The following is a 27,820-nucleotide window of genomic DNA, read 5'->3' on the forward strand; positions in this document are numbered from 1 at the left end:
ATAGCACAAACAGGTTGGAGAATGTTCAATGAAACGTTTTTTTTTCCCTTCCTAACATGGAGCTGCTGTCTGCTTATACAGGGGAAAGGGAGGGTTTCTGGGAGGAATAGAGGTGAAAAGGAAAAAGTAATTTTGGAGCATGAGATATTCTGGGGAATGAGACTCTCCCTTAGGGCAAACTAGGGACCCAGGAGCCAGGGGGCCGTGAAGGTGGGAGGCAGAAGAGAAGGTGGATGTCAGAGACATGCAATAGTTATTTGGGGGAAAATGTTGATTTGTGCACAAGTCATATCTTGGGAAATGAAAGGAACGTTCTTTCTCTGTCACCTGCTGTTCCTCCTCACCCTCCACTGCCTTATACGGCCCAGTACGCAGAATTCAAGCCAGTGCTAGATTATGTGCTACATGCCTGACAGTGAGACTCATATTATAACATTGCTTCTGCAGGAGTTCTTGCGTGCAGTCAACGAGTTTACCATTACATCTTGGGACACGCTCATTTTAAAGTTGGGAACTGCCTGTATAAGACATGGTCCCTACCCTGGAGGGATTCACAGTGACTAGATTTAAGGTAGACCAGTTAATAAATGCGAAACTACTGGAGAATAATCAATGGTCAGCTGTAGGATATTGGCTTTAAGTAAAATGGAAATTTATGCTAGGGTGGTATGTCGGTTCATTGAAATTCTCACATAGGACAGTATGACTGATCTATGCTAAGAATATACTTGGCTAGTAAGAGGAGGAAGAAGAAAACTCTAGTGATGGAAATCACCTGGAGCCAACGTTTGGCATCAGACATGAGCATGGACAGGATAGGCTGCAAGGAGGAATCAGGCATGATGGAAGCAAAATGGCTTTCTAAGAAGCAGTGGGAGATTGGAATGGCTAAAGTAAGATGGGGTCAAACATTTCCTGTAAATTAAAGACAGGAACATAAAACATATCACTTGAAATTTGTACACATTTCATGTGACTGAACACTTTGAGGCAATAAATCTTGACATACTTTTTCAGGGGCATGAGTTAATGTGGCTAAAGTTCAGATGAGGTGAGGATCAGATATTGGAAGAATGGGAATCCATATTAAGGACTTTGGATTTGATGAAAGAGTCCATTTATGGTGTTACTGGAAATATTTCACTAGGGCTGGAACATTGGCCTGCGGCTGGCACACAGGATGAAGGTGGAATAAGTCAGGGAGACCACTTAGGAAGCTGCTATGATAGGCCAAAGTGGGAAGCTGAGTACCTGGACCAAGATGGAAGCAGCAGATTGGAGAAAGAACACATCTGAAAGTCGCTGTGGAGATGGAAATGATAGGACTTAGAAATCACATGGGAAGAGCCAGAGAAAGTCCTTAGGTTTCTCCGGGTAACTTAAGCATAATAGGAACACTATTAGAAGTTCATGTTCCCATGAAAGTTCCTTACCTGTGGAGCCTCCCATGCCCTCCTGGTGAACCTCCATTTCTAAGGAAACCCTATAGCATTTACTGAGTATCTTAATTCTCCAAAAAATCAGACTTCTCCAAAGAAAGTCTTTAAGCATGTATTCACTAACTTGATTTTGCAAAATTACGTTAGCAAATACGTGCTATAAGGTTTCTAACCCGACAGACAAAAGCATGTAAATCATTTTACTGCTAGTTTTGGTGGAGGGTAGTGACAACTGCCAGTGTTTCAAAAAAGAGTAACATATCCAGAGTTTGTTCACACAGAAATGAATGCTTTTTAGCTTCATAACCCCTGTGCCCTTCCCGTGAGCCCCATCTCCCCAGGAAACGATATAGTACCAATTTACTAACTTAATTTGTAAAAGGAGGTTAGTGAATCAATTCTGTAAGACTCATGGAAATATTTGAAATTAATTAGCCTTGTCAGCTTTTATTTGCATAGGCTCTCTTCCAACCATATCCCCCAGCCCAAGTACAACGTTTTAGTAAGATTGATTTTAAACAATGAGACTTAGAGAATCTGTGTACAAGGAGCTTGAATAATTTAAATGCGTGGGTTTATTATTAACACAGTAGCAAATATATCAAGGAAACACGCCCCATGAAAAGTGTTTCAAAGAAACACAAATCTGTACTGAAAAAAGTCTATACGCAATAAGTAAGCCCAAAGAGGCATGTTTGCTTGGCGATGCCCAGCAGATAAGCCAGGCAAACCTCGGTGTGATCGAAGAAGCCAATTTGAGACTCAGCCTAGTCCAGGCAAGCTACTGGCACCTGCTGCTCTCAACTAACCTCCACACAATGGTGTTCGCATTTTGGAAGGTCTTTCTGATCCTAAGCTGCCTTGCAGGTAAGGAAAGGATCTCCAAACCACCAAATATAATTGGAAACAGAGTTTCCTTTTAAATAAAAATTCCACATTTTTACATAGAATTTTCATCTCCTGTACTTCAAATGAATTGTGATTAGTATGATGAGTTAATTTTCAGAACTCTTGCTTAGCAAACATATGCCATGCTGATATATTAGGGGTGTAAGCCCATAATATTATTGTTTTATGGAGCTTCTGAATGAAAATTTTCTCAGAAAAAAATATAGTTTATTACTTTACTTACTTTGAAAAGTGAAAAAAATGAATTTACTCAGAAACCAAACTTTGTGCTAGGGATAATTTTGTCTCTGTTTTACTTACTTTAGTGTTTCCTTTAAGCTCAGTGATTGACTTGCTCTAGCAGGCAGAGCCTGGGTTGGAGGGCCTGCCCTGGCTTACATATGGGAAGAACAGAAATTTACTGAGTACTTTACTGTCTAATATTTCTTAAGGAGTTGTGGTTTTCCAATCCTAAGACTGTATTTTGCAAAATATGTGAGTGATTTATGGTGCACAACATGGGTGATTTTAGGTATCTGAACAGAAGAAAATCAATTTTGGAATCAAAATACTGATGTTAGTTAGATCCAGGAGAGATCATTAATTCCAAAAATCCCTTGGGTAGTTTTCAAATATCAGATACATTTTGCATCTGTTCTTATAAGTTAGGTCCATAGTAAATACAATAATATTGTTTATCCAAAAACAGGATTTTCAAGCCATTAGTAATATTAGGCAGTGGTTAGAATGAGGTTTACTAGGCGTATTAATGACATAAGAAAATACCCACGATAAAATATTAAGTGAAAAAGCAGGATGCACACATATGCCTAGAATAAATTACTAGAAGGTTATATACCGAAGTGCTCATGGTGGTTGCCTCTGGGTGATGGGATTATAGATGATTTTAATTTTATTTCCCAGCTTTTCATACTTCCTGGGTTTTCTACGAAGAACATTATGCTATTTTTATAATTAGAAAAAAGTGTTACTTTTCAAAGTGATCTCATGTTTAGAAATAGTTCTTTAAATGTTCATTACTAAATGTTTAAGCATAGATGTTTTATGGAGTTAAACATCACCAGAAGGCAATACTCCATTTGTCCAGTGACCTAACTAGGCCCTAGAGCTGGAAACACATGTTCCTATTTTCCCTTCTCCCCAGGCATATTCATTTAAATGTAACTTTAGATATGGAAGTTTTGTCTCTTCTTAAAGGGTTTCCAGTCATTAGCCAGTTGGGTCGACCCCTGGGCCTTCTGCATCAGCCCTCTAAGATCATACCTGTTTCCCTATGTGAAGCCTTGCCCTGGCCCATACTAGGCACAGGGTTTGGAACGGTTGTTAAGAACAGTTTTTTTTTTTTTTAACTGTACCTAACATACAAGTAATTTTTACTGATTATAAATGTAATGCATGGTCATTGTAGAAAGGTTGGAAATATGGAAATTTAAAATAAAATAAAAATCATCTGCAATTTTACCACTCAGATTTGGGTGAATTATTATTCTTTTATTTGCAGGTGTATATATTACATTTTAAAAATTGGGTTTATTCCTTGTATACTTTTTTATTGTTTAAAAAAATTGTTTAGCATCATGTCAGGATTTTATTTTATTGTGACTTTTAGAACAAGACCAATAAATACTTCAGAGTGTGTTTCCTAAGTTACTATATAACTGATTTTGTTGGTATATAGTGTACACTATATATCTACACACATATTATCTAGTTGGCCCAAAGCAGTAGTGTCAGTACAGCAAATTGTGGTATGCTCTATTGTCGTTTGCTGTGCTTACATATGTATTGAAGTCAGAGAAAGGATCACTTTAGTAATCTACACCTGTCATTAGCAGTGTTCATCAGTTGATCTGGACAACTGATAGTGTTTCCATCAATGTGCAATTTGATGTTCTTCCTGGACTTGTTTTGGAGAGAATGTCACTTTTTGGTGTTAAGCGTGGTGCCTAACACATAGTGGATGCATAGTAAATGTTTGTTGAAAGAATGAATTACTTTCCCAAATTCCAAACATCCAGACATCATTTTCACATACATATTTAAAATTGATTTTGATATAACTAAACAGGTCAGATTTTGCTTAAATCAAAATATTTTCAATGACTTCTTAGGAATTCTTAGGTTAAATTCTAATTCAGGAAAACGAGTTTTAATCAAACTTCTGCAAAAAATTTATGCATATCATTTTAGGTATTTGAAATATGTATTAGTCACCTCTTAGAAAGATATGTTAATGTGGGTTTCATTTTCTGGAGGTATATGCTATGCATTTTAAAGGAGTAATATATTTGAACTTTGAGTTTGCACTCAAATCCAAAAAAGTGAGTGATCATTTGATTATATTATTTCCTAAGTCAAAATGAATCTATTATATATGAAGTTGCTGGAAATTAAATCACTTCAAATCTATCAGATTAAATATGAATATTTGGGGGATATTTTGCTGTGGTACATTAGGAGGATAATAATCCTTCTATAAGCAAAATGTTTGCCACCTTGTAGGCATTAAATGAATGAACAATCACCACCAAAATACAAGACATTCTCTCTCTCTCTCTCTCTCTCTCTCTATATATATATATATATACATATATATATACATATATATACACATATATATATACATATATATATACACATATATATATACACATATATATATATACACACATATATATATATACACATATATATATACACATATATATATATACACATATATATATATATATACACACACATATATATATATATATATATATATATATATATATATATATACACATATATATATTCTTTTGAGACGAAGTTAAGTCTTGTTGCCCAGGCTGGAGTGCAATGGCACGATCTCGGCCCACCGCAACTTCCGCCTTCCGGGTTCAAGTGATTCTACTGCCTCAGCCTCCTGAGTAGCTGGGATTACAGGCATGCACCACCACGCCCGGCTAATTTTGTATTTTTGGTAGAGACAGGGTTTCTCCATGTTGGTCAGGCTGGTCTTGAACTCCCAACCTCAGGCGACCCGCCCACCTCAGCCTCCCAAAGTGTTGGGATTACAGGCGTGAGCCACTGCGCCCAGCCTAAAAATATTTTTAAATGTTGATTAAGTGTGTACATCTTGGATTATTTTTCTTTAATAATAAGCACTTTTTTAATTATTATTATACTTTAAGTTTTAGGATACATGTGCACAACGTGCAGGTAAGCACTGGTTTTTAAAAGAGATTACACATATTTCAACCACATATGCATTTTTGTTTTGTTTTTAAATTTGGTCAAGTCAGAGAGGGACATTGCGTTCTTGGGTTTTGTTTAAATCAGATACTAATCTTTACTTTGCTATTTATTCACAGTCCTATTGATGTAGAGATTTTTCTGACTTATTCAATTTTTAAATAATTTCTCAACTTAGAATGACTTAATCCAAAGGAAGGGAACTTTTTTCCCTGACACTCAGAGAATCACCTCCACTTTAGGACTAAGTTTGCACTGCCCATTGTCTACATGTGGCTATTGAAATTTAAATCACTTCAGATTAATGAAAATTATAAAGTCAGTTCCTCAGTTTCACTAGCCACATTTCAAGTGTTTGATAATTCTATTTGGGCTACTGAACTGGATGGCGCAGAGATAGAACATTTCCATCATCACAGGAAGTTCTGTTGGACAGCACTGTAAGGGTGAGCTCAGAGGTTTTAAGTAATGTGCACTAATTGAATGATGTGACATTTTAAAAAGGCTCATCTGGAAATATATAACTTTTAGCTCTGAAGCATATCATCACTATATCATGGTTGGACAATGTCTGAAAAACATCTTTTCTTCAGAATTTAATTGGTTATGGTGCTAAGAATTGGGAATCTGGGCAATAAAATGGCCTGGAGGTTTTGCTTTGCCAACTGTTACTTATTTACATGACAATGTGTAGTACCTCAAAAAATATTGTCTCACTTTAAAATTTGAAATTACCATCCTAATTCCAAGGTGATATTATTAAACTTTTGCAGATTTCTAATTAGTTACACATTTATATATCTTCTATATTTAAAATGTTAGAAATGTTTGAATCAGATTTATATTTTCCAAATCCTTGATTTTCATTCACCTCTATTCTCATCTGTGCTATAAATGGCTTCCTGCTGCACTGAGGGATGGCAGAGATTGTGTCTGTCATGTTCATTCTTGTTTCCCCAGTGTTCAGCACTGTTTGTGGCACAAAATGGGTGCTCAATTGATATTTGTTGCTAGGCTCCACAGCCTCTTCCATGGCTTGACTTGTGTGAGTACTGTGTGTACTCTGCCATCAAACACTTTTTCCAAGAGTGGTCTTCAAAGGGGGTTTGTGGGGTTTTGTTTATTGTTTTGCCTTATCTGTTCATAAATTCTCACCCTTAACCAATCTCGTAACAGATACTGGGTCCCAAACTAGAGAACAAAAATTATGGCCAAATAATATCTCTAAAATCTCTGTTTTTAGGGAATAAGTCTGGGAACTTTAAGGGCTACCAAAACCCCAGTTTTATCCTTTTTATTTTGGACACTTTAAAGACATTTGGAAGTCATCATTTAAGCACGGCCAGAGATGTGGCTAACTTCCAGGAGAAATGAAATGGGCTCTTTGAGGGTGGGAGGGAACCATCTTTCTCCAGTGAAGTTTTTGTTGGAAAGATTAGCTGCTTTCTGAAAGCCAATTTCCTTTTTGGAGGAGGCATTATGGAAACCAGGAAAGCATGGGGAGGAGAATATTGGGAAGAGGGAAACTGTATGGAGTTAAAAAGTGCTGCATTTTTGTTTGCATTCAGGCACTTTTCTTAATTTATCAGTGCATTGGTTGCCATGTAAACAGCCAGCTTCTGGCAGGAAAGCAGCTGGACCAGGTGACCTGGCTGTGACAGAGAACACAGATATTGAATCCATGAAACCAAGAGTAATCAGTACAACGATTTTTTTTCTTTTACTTTTTAAAAGTGTTTGTCAATCCTTTAAGTTCTTTTTGTCTGACTGCTGTCATTAAGTAAGAAAAATATGAAATAAATAAGTCTTTGGGTATGCAAAATTGGGAAGATGGACAGGAATTAGTCCCTCTATGCAATTTCCTCTGAATCTTTCATAATTTCTGTATCCTCATCCCTTCACCCTCAACCCTCCAACACCCTCTGTTACCCTGCAGGCAACTAGGACAGCATAGAGAGCGTCTCTTGAACTTGACTTTCTCTTCCAGTGCTTGCCTGCCAATCCCGTGACCCATCCTGGAGAACTTTTATAGTCTTCGACAATGCAATGCATAGCAACCAGTTAATAAGATAAGACAGTGACTGTATAGTGCTCCCCAAAGTGCCATCACCTAAAATAGCCCTTTGGAAAGTGCTCATATAGAACTGAGAATTTTAGTGTAGTGGCAGGCTGGATTTGGGTAGGGTGCCCTTCGGTGGGCCTCCAAATCCTATGGGGAGCTTAATTACTTCATCTTTCTGTAAGGCCAACAGTTCTCAAAATTTGTGGTCTCAGGACAATTTTACACTCTTAAAAACTGAGGGAGATTTCTGGTCTGGACATGTAGTACAGACCTGTTTTTCATTGTTCCTCCCTGCTAAGCACAAGTATAAACCCTGGAAATAATGCAAGAGACAACCAGGGTAGAACTCTGGAAGGTTGTAAGGAGAAGGCAAACTGGTTTGAGACCCAGGGAAAAACAAAGAGCAAGGGTATCCTATGTTTCCCACCCAGCAGAAGAAAGAAACCTAGTCCTGGCCATTCCTGATACCCAACTGAACAACAGAGGGCAGCCCAGGTAAGCTTACTCCTCCCTCAGAGTCCCTCTGACAACATCAGGTAGGCCCAACACCACAGGTAAGGGGGGATCTTCAGAAACCCCACCAACAACAGTGGACAAAAGAAGCATTTGCCTTCTCCCCAGGCCTGAGATGTCCCACTTTCACCTAGAGATATCGAGGTGGGAGGGTAGAACAGACACGAGGCATAAAGTGATGGCAAGCGGCCCAGTCTGGGAAGGCTCTGTCTCAGTGGGTGTATGACTGTCCTCTCCTACCCATAGAGACACCAACAGTGCAGGGCGCCAGTAGAAGTGTCCCACCATACCTACCCCAACTGAGAGGCACCTGGAAGCCTGACCTAGGGAAACCTTTCTGCTCCTTCAGGCGATATGATCTGGGACAAATGTCAGCCTCAGTGATATCCGATAAACCAAACAGAGCAAAACAATACTGAAAATTAAACTGCTGTTAGAACAACAGACCACAAAAGTAAGCCAACACCTGCTTGCATGTGAAGCATAAATAATGTGACTGACTGCAAAAATAAAAAATGTAAATATGAGTTTCCTAACATAGTAGACAAAATGTTCAATCAAAAATCATCTGTCATACCAAGAATCAAGTAAATCACAACTTGACTGAGAAAAGGCAACTACTGCCAACATTAAGATGAGTTCGATGTTGGAATTATCTGACAAGGATTTCAAAGTAGCCATCATAAAAATGCCTCAACAATCAATTAACATTATCTTAAAACAAATAAAGAAAAAAAAGGAAACTTGCAGAAAAGAAAAAGAAGTTATAAAAATATAAGAAAGAAGGAAATTCTGTCATTTGCTACAGCATGAATGAACCTGGGGGACATTATGCTAAGTGAAGCAAGCCAGACACAGAAAGACAAACACCACATAATCTCACTTATATGTGAGATCTAAAAGAGTTGAACTCAGAATTAGAGTAGAATGGTTACCAGGGACTGTGGCTTGGAGGGAGTGGGAAATGGGGAGAAGTTGACCAAAGGGTACAAAGTTCCAGTTAGACAAGAGGAATAAGTTTTTAAGACCTATTTTGCAGCATGCTCACCATAGTTGATAATAATGTATGTGCATTTCAAAACTGCTAAAAGCATAAGATTTTAGTCTACACATTGGGTACAGTGTACACTGTTCGGGTAATGGGGGCACCAAAATCTCAGAAATCACCACTAATGAACTTATCCACGTAACCAAACATCACCTGTTCCCCAAAAAAGTATTCAAAAAAATAATAGATTTTAAATGTTCCTGCTATGAAAAAAACAAAACGAAACAAAAGATAGGTAGGCCAGATGTGGTGGCTCATGCCTGTAATCCCGCCACTTTGGGAGGCCAAGGAAGGTGGATCACTTGAGCTCAGGATTTCGAGAAGAGCCTGGGCCACGTGGTGAAACCCTATTTCTACCAAAAATACACACACACACACACACACAAAATTAGCTGGGCATGGTGGCATGTGCCTGTGGTCCTAGCTACTCGGGATGCTGAGATGGGAGAATTGCTTAAGCCTGGGAGGCAGAGGTTGCCGTGAGCCGAGATCACACTACTGCACTCCAACCTGGGTGACAGAGTGAGACCCTGTCTGAAAACAAAACAAAACAGAACAAAAAACAAAAAAAAGGATAAATTACGTGAGGTGATGGATATGTTAATTAGCTCGATGTAATTATTCCACAGTGTATGCATATATTAAAATATCACATTGTATCCCATAAATATATGCAATAATTATTTGTTAATTAATTAAAATAAAAATTAAGTTAAAAACAAGAATTTAAAAAATACATACTTTGCAATTATCTACTATTTTTCTAAAGACCCTTACAATCTATAGGCTCTTTCTCAGTTTTCTTTTTTCCCCCTTGGAATTATTTTTTGAATAAAACTGGCTTGTTTGTCCCCTCCCCCCAAAAAACAAATATAAATTATAGAACTGTAAAATAAAATAACAAAAATGAAAAACTGGCTGATGGACTCAATAGAAGAGCAGAGATGACAGAAAATAGAATCCATATCTGGTGAAACTATCCTTCAGGAATTAAGGGGAAATAATTAAATTCTCAGTTGAAGGAAAACAAAAAGATTTGTTGCTAGCAGACATACTGTTAAAAAATAGCTAAAGGGATTTCTTCAAACAGAGAATAAATGATAAAGAGCAATCAGGAAGGATGAAAGGACAACAGAAAGAGCAGAAATGTAAGTACATAAAGTAGACTATCTTTTAACTCATGAGTTCTATAAATCATATTTGATAATTGAAGCAAAATTATAACACCATTTTATACTCTAGACAATGATATTTAAAAGTGGGGAAGGTAAAGGAAACTAAATGGAAGTGAGGTTTATACACTTCAATCAAAGTGGTAAAATATTGATATGAGTAGACTGTTATGACTCACACATGAATGTTGAATACCCAGAGAAACCACTGGGAAAACTCTACAAAGATATATATTTTAAAACACTATGAATAAGTCAAGATGGAATCATAAAAAATGCTCAAGTAACTATCAGAAAAGCAAGAAAAGGGAAACAGAAGAATAAGAACTAAAGGGAACAAACAAAAAACAAATAATAAAATAGCAAACAAGAATAATATATCAATAATTACATTAAATAATTATATTGAATGCGAATACCACTACAGTAGTCCCCTTTTATCTGTGGTTTTACTTTCTGAGGTTTCAGTTACCCATAGTACAGTATAATAAGATATTTTGTGAGAAAGAGTGTGAGTGTGTGAACACAATCACATAATTTTTACTCCAGTACATTGGTATAATTGTTCTATTTATTAGTAGTTATCATTGTTAATCTCTTACTGTGCCTAATTTATAAATTAAACTTTATCATAGGTTTGTGTGTATGGGGGAAAAATATATATAGTATACATAGAGTTCAGTACTATCCATGGTTTCAGGCATCCACTGGGGGTCTTGGAATATATCTCCCTGGAATAAGGGGGAACTACTCTATATGCTATTCACAAGAAACTCACATTAAATTTGATGACATAGGAAGATTGCAAGTAAAAATATAGAAAAAGATGTACCACATAAGTATTAATTTTTCAAAAATCTGGAGAAGCTTCATTAATATCTGATAAAATAGTCTTCAGAGCAAAGAAAGTTAAAAGAGATAAACAGAGACATTACCTAATGATAAATGGATCAATCCAGCAGGAGGATACAATGATCCTTAATGGGTACACACCAAACAACTATGTCTCAAAATTCATGAACAAAAACTGATCAAGCTAAAAGAAGAAAGAGACAAATCCACAATTATAGTTGGGAAATTCAATACCCCCTCTCAGAAATTGATAAATCTACTAGACAGAACATCAGTAAATATAGGGAAGATCTGAAAAAGACAGTCAATTAACAGGATCCAGTTGAATATTTTTACGATTTTATATTGGTTTTTCCATAGTGGTTTTAAATTATATCTCTTTGTATAGAAAACTCCACCCAACAACAGCAGAACACACTTTTTTTTGGCACCTACAGAACATTCACCAAGATAGATAATGTGCTTGGCCGTAAAACAAACCTAAACAAATTTAAAATAATTGAAATCATACAGAGTATATTCTCTGACTACAATGCAATGAAACTAGAAATCTGTAGCAGAAAAGTATCTAAACACGTGGAAATTAAACAACACTGTTCTAAATAATCCGTGGATCAAAGAGGAAATCTCAAAAGGAATTTTTTTAAAAATGCGTAGAACTGAATGCAAATGAAAACACAACATATTGAAATATGTACCATGTAGATAAAGCAATTCTGAGAGAGAAATTTCTAACACTAAATGTTTACATTGGAAATAAAGGAAGGTCTTAAGTCAATAACCTAAATTTCTACATCAAGGATCTAGAAAAGAAGACCAAAATAAACCCAAAGCAAGCAGAAGGAAGGGAATAATAAAGAGCTGAAATCAATGAATTTGAAATAGAAAAACTATAGGGAAAAATTAATAACACAAAAATTTGCTTTTCTGAAAAAAAAATCAGTAAAACTGACAAACTTCTAGCAAGACTAATAAAAAGAGTTAAGACCCAAATCACTAATATCAGAAATGAAATATGGAATATCACTATAGATCCTGCAGTCATTAAAAATATAATGAGAGAATATTATGAACAATTATACATTCATATATTTGACAACTTAGAAAAAAATTGGCCAATTTATCCAAAGCAGCAAACTACTAGAACTCACCCAATATGAAATGGATAATCTGAATAGCTCTATAACCATTAAAGAAATTGAATTCATAATTTTAAAAGCTCCTACAAAATAAATCTCCAGGCCTAGATAGCTTCAGCAAATAATTCTAGCAAACATTTAAAGAATTATTAAGATCAGTTTTACACATTCTCTTCCAAAAAATAGAACAGGAGGAAACACTTCCAACTCATTTTATGAGGCCAGTATTATCCTGATACCAAAACCAGACAAAAACAGTACAAAAATAGAAAACTACAGGCCAATATCTCTCTCATGAACTTTGACACAAAAATCCTTAGCAAAACACTAGCAAATTGAATCCAACAATGTATGAAAAGAATTATACACCATGACCAAATGGGATTTATTTCAGGTTTGTAAGGCTGGTTCAACATTCAAAAAGCATTCAGTGTAATCCACCATATCAACAGGCTAAAGAAAAAAAAATATGATCATATCAACTGATGCAGATAAAGCATTTGACAAAATCCAATACCCATTCATCATTAAAACTCAGCAAGTTAGGAATAGAGGGTGTATTTGTTTCCCAGAGCAGCTGTAACAAATTGCCACAAATGGGGTGGCTTAAAGCAAGAGAAATTAATTCTCTCACAGTTCTGGAGGCCAAATGTTTTAAATCAAACTGTTGGTTTCTTCTGAGGTCTCTGAAGGAGAATCTGTGCCATAAGTCTCTCTTAGATGGCTGCTGGCAATTCTCGGTATTCTTTGGCTTATAGATGCATCATTCCAGTCTCTGCTTCTGTCTTCACAGAGCCTTTCCCTTTGTGAGTCTCTGTGTTAAGCCTCCCTCTCCGTTTTCTTATAAGGACAACAGTCATTGAATTTAGGGTCTGCTCTAAATCAGTGATTATCTCATCTCAGGATCCTTAATTACATCTGCAAAAACCCTATTTCTAAATAAGGTCACATTCACATATACTGGAGGTTAGAAATTGAACTTATCTTTTTGAGGGACACAATTTAACCCCCTACAGAGGAGAATTGCCTCAACTTGATAAAAACACCTACAAGTAACCTACAGCCAACATTATACTTCATGGTGAAAGACTGAACGCTTTTGCCCTATGATTGGAAACAATGCAAGGATGTCCACTCTCATCTCTCTTATTCAACATAGTACTGGAAGTTGTAGCCACTGCAATTAGGCAATAAAAATAAATAAAAGGCCTACAAATTGGAAATGAAGAAATAAAACTCTCTATCCCCAAAAGATTTGCATCTAGATTATATAGAGAACTCTCAAAACTCAATCATTAAAAAACTAAACAATCCAATTAGAAAATGAGCAAAGGATATAAACAGATATTTTGCTGAAGATGTACAAATGGCAAATAATCCCATTAAAAGATATTTAGCATCGTTATCTATTTGAGAAATGCAAATTAAAACCACGATGATTATATTACTTCATACCTGCCAGAATGGCTAGAGTAGAAAACTGTGACAACACCAAATGCTGGTAAGGATGCAGGAAAACGGAATCCTTTTATTTGGTGGTGGTGAGGGGAATGTATAAAGGTACAGTCATTCTGGAAAACAGCCTGGCTGGTTTTTTAAAATAAAATAAAATATGCAACTGGCGTATGATCCAGCAATTGCACTGTTGGGCATTTGTGCCAGAGAAATAAAAATTTATGTTCATGCAAATCTGTACCTGAATGTTCACTGGAGTTTTATCCAATACCCAAAAACTAGAAACAGCCCAGATGTCCTTAAATGGATGAATGGTTAAACAAACTGTATTACATATATATCATCGGGTACTACAAATCAATAAAAAACAACAAACTACTGATACACACAGCAACTTGGGTGAAATTTTAGATAATTATGCTGAGTAAAAAGAGTCATCAATTCCAAAAGGTTACCATGATTCCTTGTATATAACATTTATGAAGTGACAGAATTTTAGAAATGAAAGACAGATTAGTGGTTGTCCATGGTTAGGACAGGAATGAGGTGCAGGATGGAGGTGAGTGTGATTATAAAAATGTCAACATGAGAGGTCTTTGTGGTGATGGAACTGTTCAATATCTTGACTGTGGTGGTAAATACACGAATCTACACATGATAAAATAGAGAATTAAATGTGCATGTGCACACACACAGCAGTACATGTAAAACTGGAGAAATATGAATAAGGTCGATAGGTTTTATCAATGTCAGTATCCTGGTTGTGATATTATACCACCATCTTGCAGAATGCTACCATTGCTGGGAACTGGGTAAAGTGTACATGAGATCTGTCTTATTTCCTAGAACTGCATGTGAATCTACAAATATATAAATAAAAATTTTAATTAAAAATTATCGAGGACCCCAAAAAGAAACTGATATGTTTTGCCTGAGATTTACCTGATTTTAAAACTATAAGTCCCACATTCAAGGAATTCCCATGGTACTGGGAAAACTGAGTCAGTTGTTCTCTATACTACCAGACAGTTTTGGGTCCCTGGACAAGACTTTAAGAACCTGTGTAAGGCCGCCCTTAACACAGAAGAAATTCTCAGTTCAGTGTTATTACCACACCATCATCTAGAATTTGAGTATCTTCATATGATAATTTGTTAGAAACTCTCCTCCCACTACCCCAGTGAGCCCCAAGAAAACTCAACTTTCTTGTATGGTTTATTCTACCTTCTTCCCCTCACCTTGGATTCCTCAAATAGGATGTCTTTGTAAGTGTTCTGTGATGAAACAGTGTTATCAGAATTTGAGTATGTACTATTGATTTTTTTATGATTATCTTTTCAGGTCAGGTTAGTGTGGTGCAAGTGACCATCCCAGACGGTTTCGTGAACGTGACTGTTGGATCTAATGTCACTCTCATCTGCATCTACACCACCACTGTGGCCTCCCGAGAACAGCTTTCCATCCAGTGGTCTTTCTTCCATAAGAAGGAGATGGAGCCAATTTCTGTAAGGACACTTTTTCCTAAACTCTTCCCCTTTTGTAGTTCTGACTGAAAACTGTTGGGGTAGAAAAAATGTGAAATGTGAAAGAATGGCATGCCAGTGACAGTAGTGGCAGGAATCTCAGATACAAAAAGTTTGAAGACAGCTGTATAGAGAAGATCATCATCTAAGTGACTTGACTCTTGTCCTCTCTTCATATTTAGTTATAACCCATTATCTCGGTCTGTGTAGGTCCACATCAAGTGGATCATGTATTTTAGAGAAGACAGAAATGGTTCTTCTCATAGGTGAAATTAATAGTAATTCTGAAAGGGCTCCCCCTCCACCTTTATCTCCCTATTATTTCCAGAAGAAACTAGTTCAAATGCAAGTCCTGATTGATCTGCAGATCTCTGCCAAATTTAATATCTAGGATCTGGCTGTCAAGTGAACTAGCTCACTGTGCTAGACTGAGGCCTGACAGAATGAGACTCTTCAGATGGATGAAGAAGGGCCATAGTAGTGATGAACCCTGCGTAGTTCATCAAGAACAGCATGAGGATAGAGGACAGGGGATGGAGTGGGTAGGCATAGGGTCAGGGGGAAGAGGTTGCCAGAAAAGGATGGGTTGAAAGTCAAGGGAGGAGAATGATTTCACATGCAAGCTGCCTATTCCCAGGTTTCCTTCATCAGGCCTTGAGGGAAATTCCTTCTTTAGCCCAAAGATTCAAATTGTATACTCAAAGGTGTGTGTGTGTGTGTGTGTGTGTGTGCGCATGCATATGCACGTGCGTGTGTGTGTTTGTGTGTTCATGCACATGTTTATGTGAGCACATATGCCATGCATGCCTACACATATCCCTTGATGGAAAAGGTCTGTAGCTTTCATCAGGTTCTCAAAAGGCTGCATGACCCAAAGCAGAGTTTAGAGAAGAGACAAGTCGGTGTGGTTTGGAATAGTTGGATGCAGCTGAATTGGGCCTTGAAGGAAAAGAAAGGTTTTGATTAGTAGAAAGATAGAGGGAGAGCAAGTTGAGGAGGCTGGGGGAGGCCTAGGGACAGGGGTGGAGAAGAAAGAAGGCATTAGTTTAGAGGAGCCACACGTTGGCCAGTGTCACTTCAGCCATCACTAGTCCTTCAGAAGTGCTGAGTCCTCTGTTTACAAATCCTGAGCATTTGTTTAGCAGGAAATGCCGTACAGGGGGAGATTCCATCAATGCCACTCTCTAGTCCAAGTTAAACAATTTTGCTCAATACTGGTTACCTTGGACAAGTATCTGAATCACTCTGCACCTCTCTTTAAAATATGGTAGATCAGCAATACCCATGGGGAATCAACTGATATAATGCATGTGAAAAATATAAAGCTCTGTAAGTTTTATCCCTTGTAAACACTATTATGATTATCATCATCCACAGCAGCACCACCACCAACAGTGCTTCTACCAGTTTCCATCACCCAAGATGTCCAGACCCAAGGCCTTGTATGTAGGAGTCAACTAAGAAATTATTGCCTTCTTTTGCAGGATGCTCTGTTAGATTGTAGATGGCAATAATCACATGACCTTTCTTCCTTTTTGAAATTCAATTTCCGGACTAGTCTTGTCAACACATTCTTTATCTGTAGGCTTGAAATCCTTCTCATTTTGCCAGGTGGGGCTGGATTTAGGGAGACCTTGCCAATGTATTTTGAAATATTTTCTGCTTGATATTCAAATCAAGATGTTCTCAACTGCCTGAAGGATGGGCAAGGCCACAAATTTTTATTTATGCCTCCTCTGACACTGGGATTTACAAGGCTACCTCTTGGTTGAACTGTGTGTCTAGTGAGGAACTGGGAGGGAGCTGCAGAGCCGAAGGATCCTGTGACCAGCAATGAGCTTTTTCTATACCAGGAAATGCAAGGGAAGAAGATATGGTGATTGAATTGAGTGTGGCCTGAGCCCAGAACATCTCTTAGAAGCACTTTTAAAAAAAAATCTGTTAACAAATAAATATTTATTGAGTAGCTTATTTACTTGCCATTTGCTTCATTCTTCAAAATGTCAGGTACAGGTGGGGCAAGTGATTTAAGATATATACTCTTTTGGAATGTCCACATCAAAGGAGGGCCTCTGCACTGAGCTGCTGGATCAGGCAAAACATGCTCTCTGATCTTAAAGCTGCATGATACCTGTGTTACGCCTGTGCCTTAGCTGCATAGAAGACAAGCTTTTGTGTTTTTATTGCTCCCACAGCTTGGGAGCAATAACAACCATCCCCCTAAAGGCAAATTTTATCCTCCTTCTATTTTCCTGTCTTTCTTTAGCTTACCCTAGCCAGATCCCCATTACAACCATTTTTAGCTCTCTACTTCTAAAGAACCGGAGTCCTTCCCCTGACTCCCCATATCCTGCTGGCATGGGCTTCTCACTGCTTTACCAGATGAGTAGTTTTGAAGTCCTAGTGGAAATCTCATGATGAATGTCAATTCTTCTTGCTCTGCCACTTATTTATTGACTGCGTGATCTTAGACAAGTCGTTTGACCTTTCAGTTGTTCCGTTTCCAATCTTTAAAATGGGGCTACTTACCTATCTCATAGGTTGAATATGAAGACTAAATGGGATGATGCTTGTGAAGCACTACGAAGCCTTCTACCCAGTAAGCATTCAGTGAATGCGAGCTTTTATTATTGGCATCATCACTTACAAAATGGCGATTTTGCAAAATCCCTGTTCCCTCCATACCCCTGGTGATCTAGAGGGACTGACTCATGGGCACTAGGGAGCCTAGCTCAAGAAGATACACTTGAACAGGGACAGAGCTCTTCAGGGCCATACTAGCCCAAGATCAGCTTCGAGTTCCACTGCTTACCAGGTCACTGTGGCTAAAGGGAGGGCCCAGGCCCTTTCTCTACCTGCTTCTTATCCCTGAACTGACAGCCTGCTCAACCAAGAGGTTGCAGACATCCTGTGTTGAGGTGGTATTTTTCAAAATGGGATTTGGCCTCCATTTCAAGACTGTTTCCTCTTTGAAAACATTCAAAATTCTGTGGAGCATGTTGTATGTTAATCTAGGGATTGCTGGTGGAACATTTATGGGAGGATAAAAAGACTGCTGCACTATTAGACAATTATGTGATTTATGGGACTAAGATGTTGCCAGACATCAGTGGTCACACTGAGAGATTCAGTTCAACTCCTGGGTTGATGTGGCAGTATACTGTATAGCATTCAGCTCTCAGATCCACCCATTTCTGCTCAAACACAGCACAGCTCGTGCCTCAGTACTGAGGGTATGGAGGAAAAGGCAGTCAGTCAGTGTCTAAAAATGACGCACGCAAGAGACGCTCGGGGAAGATGTAGCTGGACCTCTGAGGTAAGAACACTTATTGGTGTACTACTGGACTTCTTCATTGTTTGGAGACTCCAGGGCACTGGCACCAGCTTTAGGAATGGGATGGGAGGGTCTGACTTTGGTAACAATCAAGATCAGCACAAGCCCCTGACAAAACTGGGACAGTCTTGAGTTTACCTTCTCACATCCATGTCTGGAGTTCTTCTGCCTCTTCCTAAAGGCTCAGGACCCTATTGCTGCCCTGATCAGGGCAGTGGCCAGCTCTTTCCATAGTCCCATCTTCCCTTTCCTGAAATCATTGTGTTAGATTAGCAATTGACTCTGAGGCCTGGTATTCCTCAATACCTAGGGGCTGATGTTATCTCTTACTGACTATCCCCTTTGGAGAACAGAGACTGAAGTATCCCACAGGTCTTCCCACCAAGAAGGCCAGGATATTCATTAGCATGGTCCTTCTCTCAGAGAAACATTCCTCTCAGAAAATATGAACAGCTTTAGATAGTCAATCCCTCAGCAGGGAATCTCAGCTGAAAACTCTAGGCCAGGTATGGGCAGGCTAACATGGAAATTTGGGGTGGTCTGGTGCCTTTCTGGTCACACAGATGGCTTCATCTTCCATCCAGTCTGTTAATGCTAACACTACAGAGACCCCACCTGTCCCTGAACAGACCATGCCTTGACTCTGCTTAGCATGAATCTCTCAGACAATACTTATTCTTCAAGAATGTTCATAGTGAAAAAATACCCTTTGCCAGTCTCATAAACAACTTAGACAACTTCTTTCCCAGGACCTAGTGTTCTTATGTTCTCTGGCTTCTCAGGTTTTACAACCTGAAATACACAGGACAGAGCCACACAATAAAGAGTTGTCTGCCCAAAATGCCAGTGTCACCCCTACTGAGAAATACTGCAAGTTCTTCCCCACCCCACCATCAAATTTATGTATTGTGTCCCATTCACTTTCTGCTAAATCTGATAAATTAATCTCATGGTAAGGTGTTAGGGACTAGCGAAAGCTTATTTTATTCTCTTCTAAAGAATGCATTGAATGGGACCTTCCATGCCTTCTTCCAAAAGGAGCAACTCAAATGGCAGATACCCAGGCAAATGGAGGGTTGGTAAGAGAGTTGGTTTGGAAGCAAGAGAGTCTTTCTTTTGGTATCCCATTCCTTCCACATGCCATCCCTGCACCACAATACAGTCCAAATAAAATTCTGAGCTTGTGACCATTGCCACCTTATACCTGCACACCCCTTCCCTATCCTATGGCTAGCCCCTCTATCAGCAGTACAAGAAAGCAAGAAGCTGGAAAGGAAAGAATGGGTGGTTTGCTGTGGATGTCCATGTCCTCCACCTTCCCAGAAGGAATCTGCAAAAGCAGCTCTGGAAGCTAACTCCAACTCAGATTCAAACAGAAAGCAGACTGAATTCTTTCAACCCTTCTTGTTTATACTCCATGCTTCTAGTTAGAGAGCAGTGTCACTAAGCTGAGGAAAAAGTCTTTTAGGACAAATCTGGTTCCCAGCTGCACGGCCTTGTGTGAATAGGAACTTGGCACAGTAGGAAGGGAAAGGTTGCTCTGCAAAGAACTGAGGGGCCTACAATTGCAGCTGGCAAATATTGAGGGCATCATGTGGTGAACATACTCAGCATGGGAAGCATCATGCCAATAAATAGCAACAATTGGCAGGAGAAAGGTTGGGCTGGAGCAGGGAATGGAATGGTCCCAAAAGGAGAAGGTTGCCCAGGAATCATCTTTCTCATCTTAAGAAGCACTGTGAGTGCCATCTTAATATATTCAGTGGGAATCAGAAGGTCTGAATTCCAGGTCTGACTGTAAATTGTGTGACCTTGGGAAAATGGCTCCCTCTATTGAGGCCTCGGTGTCCTTTTTTTGTATTAGAAAAGGATGAATTCGAGTTTACTAACCGCAGGCCTCTGGGTCAGATTTGGCCAGTGGATGTATTTCAGTCGGCCTGCCCAGTATTTTGTTTGTTTGTTTCAACAGTTCGAATGCCTTGTTTGCGTTGACTTTTCCGTTCCCTGCAGTCCCCATATCTGTTATGAGCTTACCACTACTTACCAGCCCCTCCCAGCCATTTCCCATATTTCCAATATCCATCGGGCTCCTGAAGGCCCCTTAACCTTAGAAACCACAAACCAAACTATCTCACAGAGGTCTTATAATTAATGTGCAATTATGACTCCACCCATCAGCCTCTAGCGTCACCCTGGGGGCAGGCAGAGAGGACCTTGGGAGAAAGCAGGGCAGTCTACCATGAACCCAAGCACAAAGTGCAGGTGGGTAAAAAATTAACAAGCGCCCCTTAAGGGAACACTGGGATGGATTTCCTTAAAAAAATCACCTCCTCCCCACCTCCACCCAAAGATGTGGCCCATTGTACATCCGGGGCTTTTTCTGGATCTCCATTGCTTTGACGTCTAAATTGATAATATTCTTTCTTTGAAAAGTGTACAAGCCACACAGGATCATGGGCCAGGCTTTGGCCACTGTTCAGCTTTGATTTTTAAAAGAGTTATTCTTTTATGGAAAGTGGAATCAAGTTGTAGCCCTTCCTATATGATTAGATAAGCAGTTTCAGGAAAACACTTCTTTCTTTTTTTCTTTACAAGGACAGTGTGACTGTGTGGACTTCCCCTTAACAGAAAGCCCCTCCATGTATGTGTCTGGCTGCTGCTGTCTACCCCTAGGTACTTTACTTCTTACAGAGAACTGTGAAGCCAAAGCCTTGGCTCTTTTAGGTCTCCATTGTTAGCCCTCACTACCCCCATTTCTGTCTCTAATACCTTTTAGTGTCAATCGTGAGAGGGCAAAATGTATTAGACTACAGCATGAGGAGCTAGCATGTAAGAGGTAGTAAAGGTCTTTTTCATGGGTAAGGTTCCAGGGCCTCATTGCTTATATACTCATTTCACCTTGACTCATGCCCAACTATGGGACTTTTACAGTGGGCATGGACACATGGATACAGTGGACACTTTTACTTCTTCTCATATCCTAATTCTGGCCTAAAACACACCATTTTGGCCTCAAGATCTCTGCAGAAATAAGGTCCTTTTCACCTGGATCCTCTGGGACTTGCTGTGGGCCTCAGGCGTGACTGATGTTGTATCTCATTGTGATGTCATCAAGCATCAGTATAAAACAGGGCTGATGTTTTACACTGTCCACAGTCTCCTTGGGAGGAGGGGAAGTGGCCAGATGTTGAGGCTGTGAAGGGCACTCTTGATGGACAGCAGGCTGAACTCCAGGTAAGAAACAACAAGACCTCAAACTGTCAATTAGAAAGTAAATAAGCCCCATGCTGCCTAGTGAAATTGAAAGCCTGATAGCGTGGGTGCCAACTCAAATGAAAGTAATCCTCTGATGTATTGAACCTCCTTCTGTCCCACTTGAATACCTGGAGTTAATCCTGGCTTTCTGGTTTGGAAGTCAAACAAGACCATTCTGGGGCAAGAGTTTGTGATTTCAGTAGGTGTGAATGAATGAATTATAAATGGCTGCATTTATAATGCAAGCAAGAAAACACGTTGATGTTAGAAAAAACGGGAGAGAAACAAATAGTTTTCTCTGTAAATGTACTCTTTTCCTGGGATTTTTCCCTCAAAATCCAGCTTTCTGCCTTAGTTTTAAAATATATTGACTTTCTGCTTAAAGGAGAATACATTTGAATTCATCTAGACAATATCTTTTGGTTTTCTAATTGCTTTCCCTCTTTTATTGGCCTGTTAAGGTAAAGCCCACAGTACAAGGAATTAGGAAAATTGGATTCCAGATCTGTCTCAACCGTCAATTTTGCCTTTTATTTTTTAACCTCTCTGGGCTTTGGTTTCTTCTGTAAACTGAGGGAAGTGAATTAAATGAACTGTAAGGCCTTCCAGTAGATTTTATGAAAAATTAGTCTCACCAGACTAAGACAATACAGTTTATTGAACAATAACAATCACTTGAATAATATACATTTACATGAAACCAACAAAACATGTACATAGAAGGTGTGTATTATGAAGGGACCTCAGGAATTACCTAATCCAGTGATTTCCCAGCTTCAGTCATTCATGTACCATCTACATGATTTTTGTCATATTTGTGTATCACCAGCACTATTTGTTATTTAATGTTATTTTCTGTATTGACTTGTTTTCTTAAAATCTTAAAAAATATCTACCTTAATCTACCCTATGCAACAATATTCAGGAAGTCATAGATTTAATGTGCTAGATTTTTCTGTTTCTAATACACATTGAAATTTGTAAGTTTTCATTTATATACTACCTAAAATCAACTTAAATGCCTATACTTGGTAAATACATATCATACTTTGGAAAACATTACTCTCTTTTCTCATTCAGATGTGGAAAGTAAAGGTTGGAGAGATTAAATAACTTTGTTTCTTATCTAAAACCAGGCTGCCATGGAGGCATGACTAGAGGCCACCTCCCCTAACTATATCACAGTGAGGGGCAGAGCTGTGACTAACTCAAGCCACCTGACCCCTAGACCAGGACCCTTTCCACCACATCATGCTGCTCCCACAGTTGCCATTATGATCTAAGTATCTATGCTCTTTAATAGAAATGGGACTAGAATCCAGATCTTAAGTTTAATAAGTTATAATAATAATAAATGAGCCCTTGTGGCTTCAGATGGGTCACTTAATCTCTCTGGGTCTGAGATGCCTTATTTGTTTAAATGACAGAAGAATTCCAGTTCTGCCTTCTGCCACATGGGGAGAAAGATGGTAGCTATCATTGGCTGAGCACTTCCGAGGTCCTTTACTAGATTTCTTAGTTTCATCTTCACAACACCACTATAAAGGGATGGGACCAGATGATTTCTAAGATGCTTTTCCGCTTTGCTTCTAATAAACAAAACAAACCCAAGTTTGTCTATCCAAAAGAGTAGGTGTGTCTAAAAGGAGCATGAACATTTGAACATTTAAGGAAACCAGATAGTCTCACTGGGTAAGGTAAATTCAAATTTTAAGAAGTTTATAAAATGGTAAAAAAAAAAAAATGATGGTTTTGGTTTCCCATCAGACATTTGTGTTCTACATAATGAGTTTCTCTCAGGTGGATTCATTAAGTGAGCATCTTGATCTCCTAGCCCAAGCTTAGGTGTTGAATCCTGTCAGCTCCAGCTGCCTCCTCCTCTGTAAGATAGGCATACTAATCCCTGCCCTGATGACATCACAGAGCTGCTCTGAGGGCCAAATGCGCAGCTGTGAGCAAACTAAAGTGCCCCACTGAGTTGAGAAACCTTGGCCACAGGGACCTGTTCCTGGTGGGGGGAAGATGCTGCTTCTTTATCAAAGGTAATGTGTTTAGAAGAAGCTTTCAGGTAGCTTATCCTAGTCCTGGACTCTCTCCAGTTCTCACTTCTGTTATTTTTCTGTCTAGATTTACTTTTCTCAAGGTGGACAAGCTGTAGCCATCGGGCAATTTAAAGATCGAATTACAGGGTCCAACGATCCAGGTAATGCATCTATCACTATCTCGCATATGCAGCCAGCAGACAGTGGAATTTACATCTGCGATGTTAACAACCCCCCAGACTTTCTCGGCCAAAACCAAGGCATCCTCAACGTCAGTGTGTTAGGTATGAGCACTTTTTTCTGCTTTTTCTTTTCTTGGAAAAAGTTAGGACACTGAATGAGCCAGGACAGTGAGTTATGATGCCAATTAAGTCTCTGTAGGTAAATATACTCCCTAATATTTTCATTATCAGGGAAATAGAGACAAGCCACCAGCCCAACCAAAACAGTAACACTGAGAAATCACTCATAAAACATGCAGAACAATTGTGCAAACGGGCTGCCAAAATGACAGCAGTAGATGACCCAACCTCCAGTGATCCCTATCTCTGAGGGATGGAATGAGAACAGATGAGACAATCCACTGTCCCACAAAATGATCACTAGCAACTCTTTTAGAGGAAACCTCCATTTACAGCCAGATCTACCTGGGGGAGACTACTGTCAACTTATTATTCCTTTTAAGCTCGACACAATTCCCACCATTAAATTATTCTTTTAAATAAAGACAGGAGAGTCCCTTTTTTAAAATGCTAATGTTATTTGGAAAAAGGACTGAAATTAATCTAGTGTTGAGAATCAACATATTTACATACAAATATTCATTATATGATATTGGGCAAGCCGTATCTGCTCTTAAAATGAATTTGGAATCTCATTTGTTCAGTATTTATTGAGTTACAGTGATGGAGGTGTTGTTTTTGCCCTTGGGAAGCTCCCAATTTTGGCCATTTCTAGAAGTCCTTACAATCTCTGTCTGAGAGGACAATGTGGGCTAAACTTCCATCTGCAGGCTGGTATTGGGAAGTATCGAAGCAAGGGATGAAAGGGCTGCCAATCCTCAACTCTTACAGACAGACCAGTTGAGATGAGCATTTTCCCACTTCTAGGTAGCCCCAAATGAAGCTGATCTAGTCATTGCTGCTCTCAAGCTGTGTGCACACATCACAAGAAAGGAGGAACTACATCAAATCAGTGACTTAATAGTTGAGTAGCTTGGAAAAGCAGCAATTGGTAACAAGGTGCATACCCAAGAGAACTGTTTACAGTTGTCCTGGCTTGCCACTCAGGTAATGCCACAAAGGAACCAGCTGACATTTACTGTGAGGTTTGCCACTGCATCTACCCACCTGGGAAAGAGGGAAAGGTACCTAAGAGCTATTTTTTAAGAGTGGGTTAGCTTAATCAATCATATTTTTATCTTACTGAGTTCTGTGCCAGGAATTGGGGTACAGGAACAGACAAGAGAAGTATTACTCAAGCAAATTCCTGGGAGAGTTTCTGTTTCAGTTTGGAAGACTAGTGTATTAGTCTATTCTTGCATTGCTGTAAAGAAATACCTGAGACTGGGTAATTTATAAGTAAAAGAGGTTTAATTGTCTCACGGTTCTGCAGGCTGTACAGGAAGCATAGCAGCTTCTTGGGAAGCCTCAGGAAACTACAATCATGGCAGAAAGCAAAGGGGAGGCAAGATGTCTCACATGGCTGGAACAGGAGGAAGGGGAGGGGAAGATGCCACACACTTTTAAACAACCAGGTCTTATGAGCACTCATTCACTATCACAAGATCAGCACCGAGGGGGAAATCCGCCCCCATGATCCAGTCACCTCTCACCAGGCCCTATCGCCAAAATTAGTGATTACAATTTGACATGAGGTTTGGGTGGGGACACAGATCCAAACCATATCAACTAGTTAGTTATATACATGGGAACTAAGTGATGTGCTATAAATGCCAAAGCATCAAACTGGCACTCAGAAGACCTGAGTTTTAGATCTTACTCTGTACTCAGTGACCTTATACAAGTCAGTCCACCTTTCTCTGACCATTGTGAGATGGGGTTATAATTTCTGCCCTGTCTTCTTTACAGGTTTGTTATGAACAGTTTTGTTATTTTACCTATAAAATGAAATACTGGAGATCAAAGGGGTTTTTAAATGTTCAAAAACTGGAGGGATTAGCTAATGATTTTCTGTTGCTTCCTGGTTCTGGGATGTTCTGACCAGAAACAATCTAAAGAAGCCAAGTCTCTTCATCTCAGAGCTTGGAAATAGCCCTGAGATAAAGTTAGACAAGAAGGTTAATATTCTTAAATTTAAAGCTCAGAGGATCCCAAATCAATTTCCATAAGAAGTTGAGGGTCACTTCATCTCAGAGGTGTTTTTTCCCATGAGTCTTTGTGTCAGATAGCTCTGTGTCATGACTTTTCCTTAAGCAGCCAGGATCCAGACAAGGTAAGAGGCAGAAGGGTCTGTGGATTTCCTTGTTTGTTTAGGAACTCTAAAAAATATTGTTTTTGTTAATTGGGCAAAGAACAAAGGCCTCCTCCAAATGTAGGCTTTTTGGAAAATTTGAGACTGCTAATTTTCTCTAAAAATTGCAGCGACTATTTGCAATTCTCAAATCTCATTGTATATGAGTGACAATTTTGCTTGCCCTGACTGAAAGGTGAGGCAAGATGGGGACAGGTGGGTAAGAGAGACAGGTTAATTGTGGGGAGAGGTGTTGATATTTCCTTAAAGATGACTCTCATAGCAATGTATCTTTCAGATGTTTTGTTACCCAGCAGTGAGCATCAATCCCATGCATTTACTCGTTCATGCATGAATTCATTTAACAAACCCTGAGCACACGTGCCAGTTACTGTGCTAAGCAATGGACATGGGGAAATGTAAAAGATAGGGTCTTAGCCCTCTAAAATTCAGTCTAGTGAAGGAGACAGACGCGTAACATAAAAGCTTTCAGTGGAGGTATGAGAGGAGAGCTATGAGGGCACAGGGGAAAGGGCAAAAAGCTGTATCAGGAATTGGAGAAGGCTTATTGAGGAAAGTGACTTTTGTGCTGAATGTTGAAGGATGTGCAAGAGTGTGTGATGAAGAAGAGGGGCTGAGATGGCAAGGCACAGTTTAGGTGAAGGAAACAGCAATGGGCAAAGAACCAGGTGGTTTGGATGGCCATTCATTTGAGAGCTTTCCATTAGGTATGACAACCTTGGAAAATTAATCTCTGAAAAATACCCAGATCAAGTTTGAATAATTATTTTGTGTGCATTTGGAATGAGCATCATCTACCTTCCGCAATTTGGCACATAAAAAGAAAATGATTGATTTAGGGAAGGTTTAAGAACCTACTGAAGCACTTTGTTTTTTCTTTTTTCTTTTTTTTTCTGAGCTGAGCCTTTTCCTCCCACCCCAATTCTGTTGAAAGCAATAAAGCTAAATGGTAGATCAATGGCTTTGCCAGTAAAATACCCAAGTTCCACTGGGGACTTTAACTGGATGAAATTTCAGTTCAATCCTGGGTCAGTAGTTTTAGAAAATATATAGGTTTGGGACTTGGTTCAAAGTGATTCACTAAATGTTTTGTTAATAAAAAATAAAAGGAGAAAAATATTCTAAGCAAAAAAAATGCCTATCTGGGTTTGATTCTGGGCTCAAGAAATGAGTGCAAGTCATTCCAGGTTTTTGCCATAATTTAGTTCAAGTCCTGGTGTCCAACTTTGTGATGAAACACCCCCATTTAATTTTCTGTTCAAATTGTTCTATTCTGCTGTAAAGGCTATACAATAGCCATCTTTTTAAAAAGGCAGTATCTAAATCTAGTGATAGCTGCAATGGACTTCT

General features: G+C 38.9%; 1 protein-coding gene across 6 annotated transcripts in view; it reads left to right on the forward strand.

The window, feature by feature from the left end:
* Positions 1-27,820, forward strand: part of VSIG1 (V-set and immunoglobulin domain containing 1) — a 60,306-nt gene that overhangs the window by 23,995 nt on the left and 8,491 nt on the right. The window contains exons 1-5 of one of the 6 annotated variants that reach the window (XM_005262127.5): positions 2,192-2,306; positions 15,165-15,328; positions 18,555-18,662; positions 21,837-21,914; positions 24,063-24,261. In XM_005262127.5, coding sequence (XP_005262184.1) covers positions 2,258-2,306; positions 15,165-15,328; positions 18,555-18,662; positions 21,837-21,914; positions 24,063-24,261 — 598 coding nt within the window. In that variant the 5' untranslated portion in view covers positions 2,192-2,257. Of the gene's footprint in view, positions 1-2,191; positions 2,307-15,164; positions 15,329-18,554; positions 18,663-21,836; positions 21,915-24,062; positions 24,262-27,820 lie in introns of those variants that run through there. The other 5 variants (XM_011530936.3, NM_001170553.2, XM_047442072.1 and 2 more) reach the window with 5 other exon arrangements.

This window comes from Homo sapiens, chromosome X (assembly GCF_000001405.40).
Source record: "Homo sapiens chromosome X, GRCh38.p14 Primary Assembly".
NCBI lineage: Eukaryota > Metazoa > Chordata > Mammalia > Primates > Hominidae > Homo > Homo sapiens.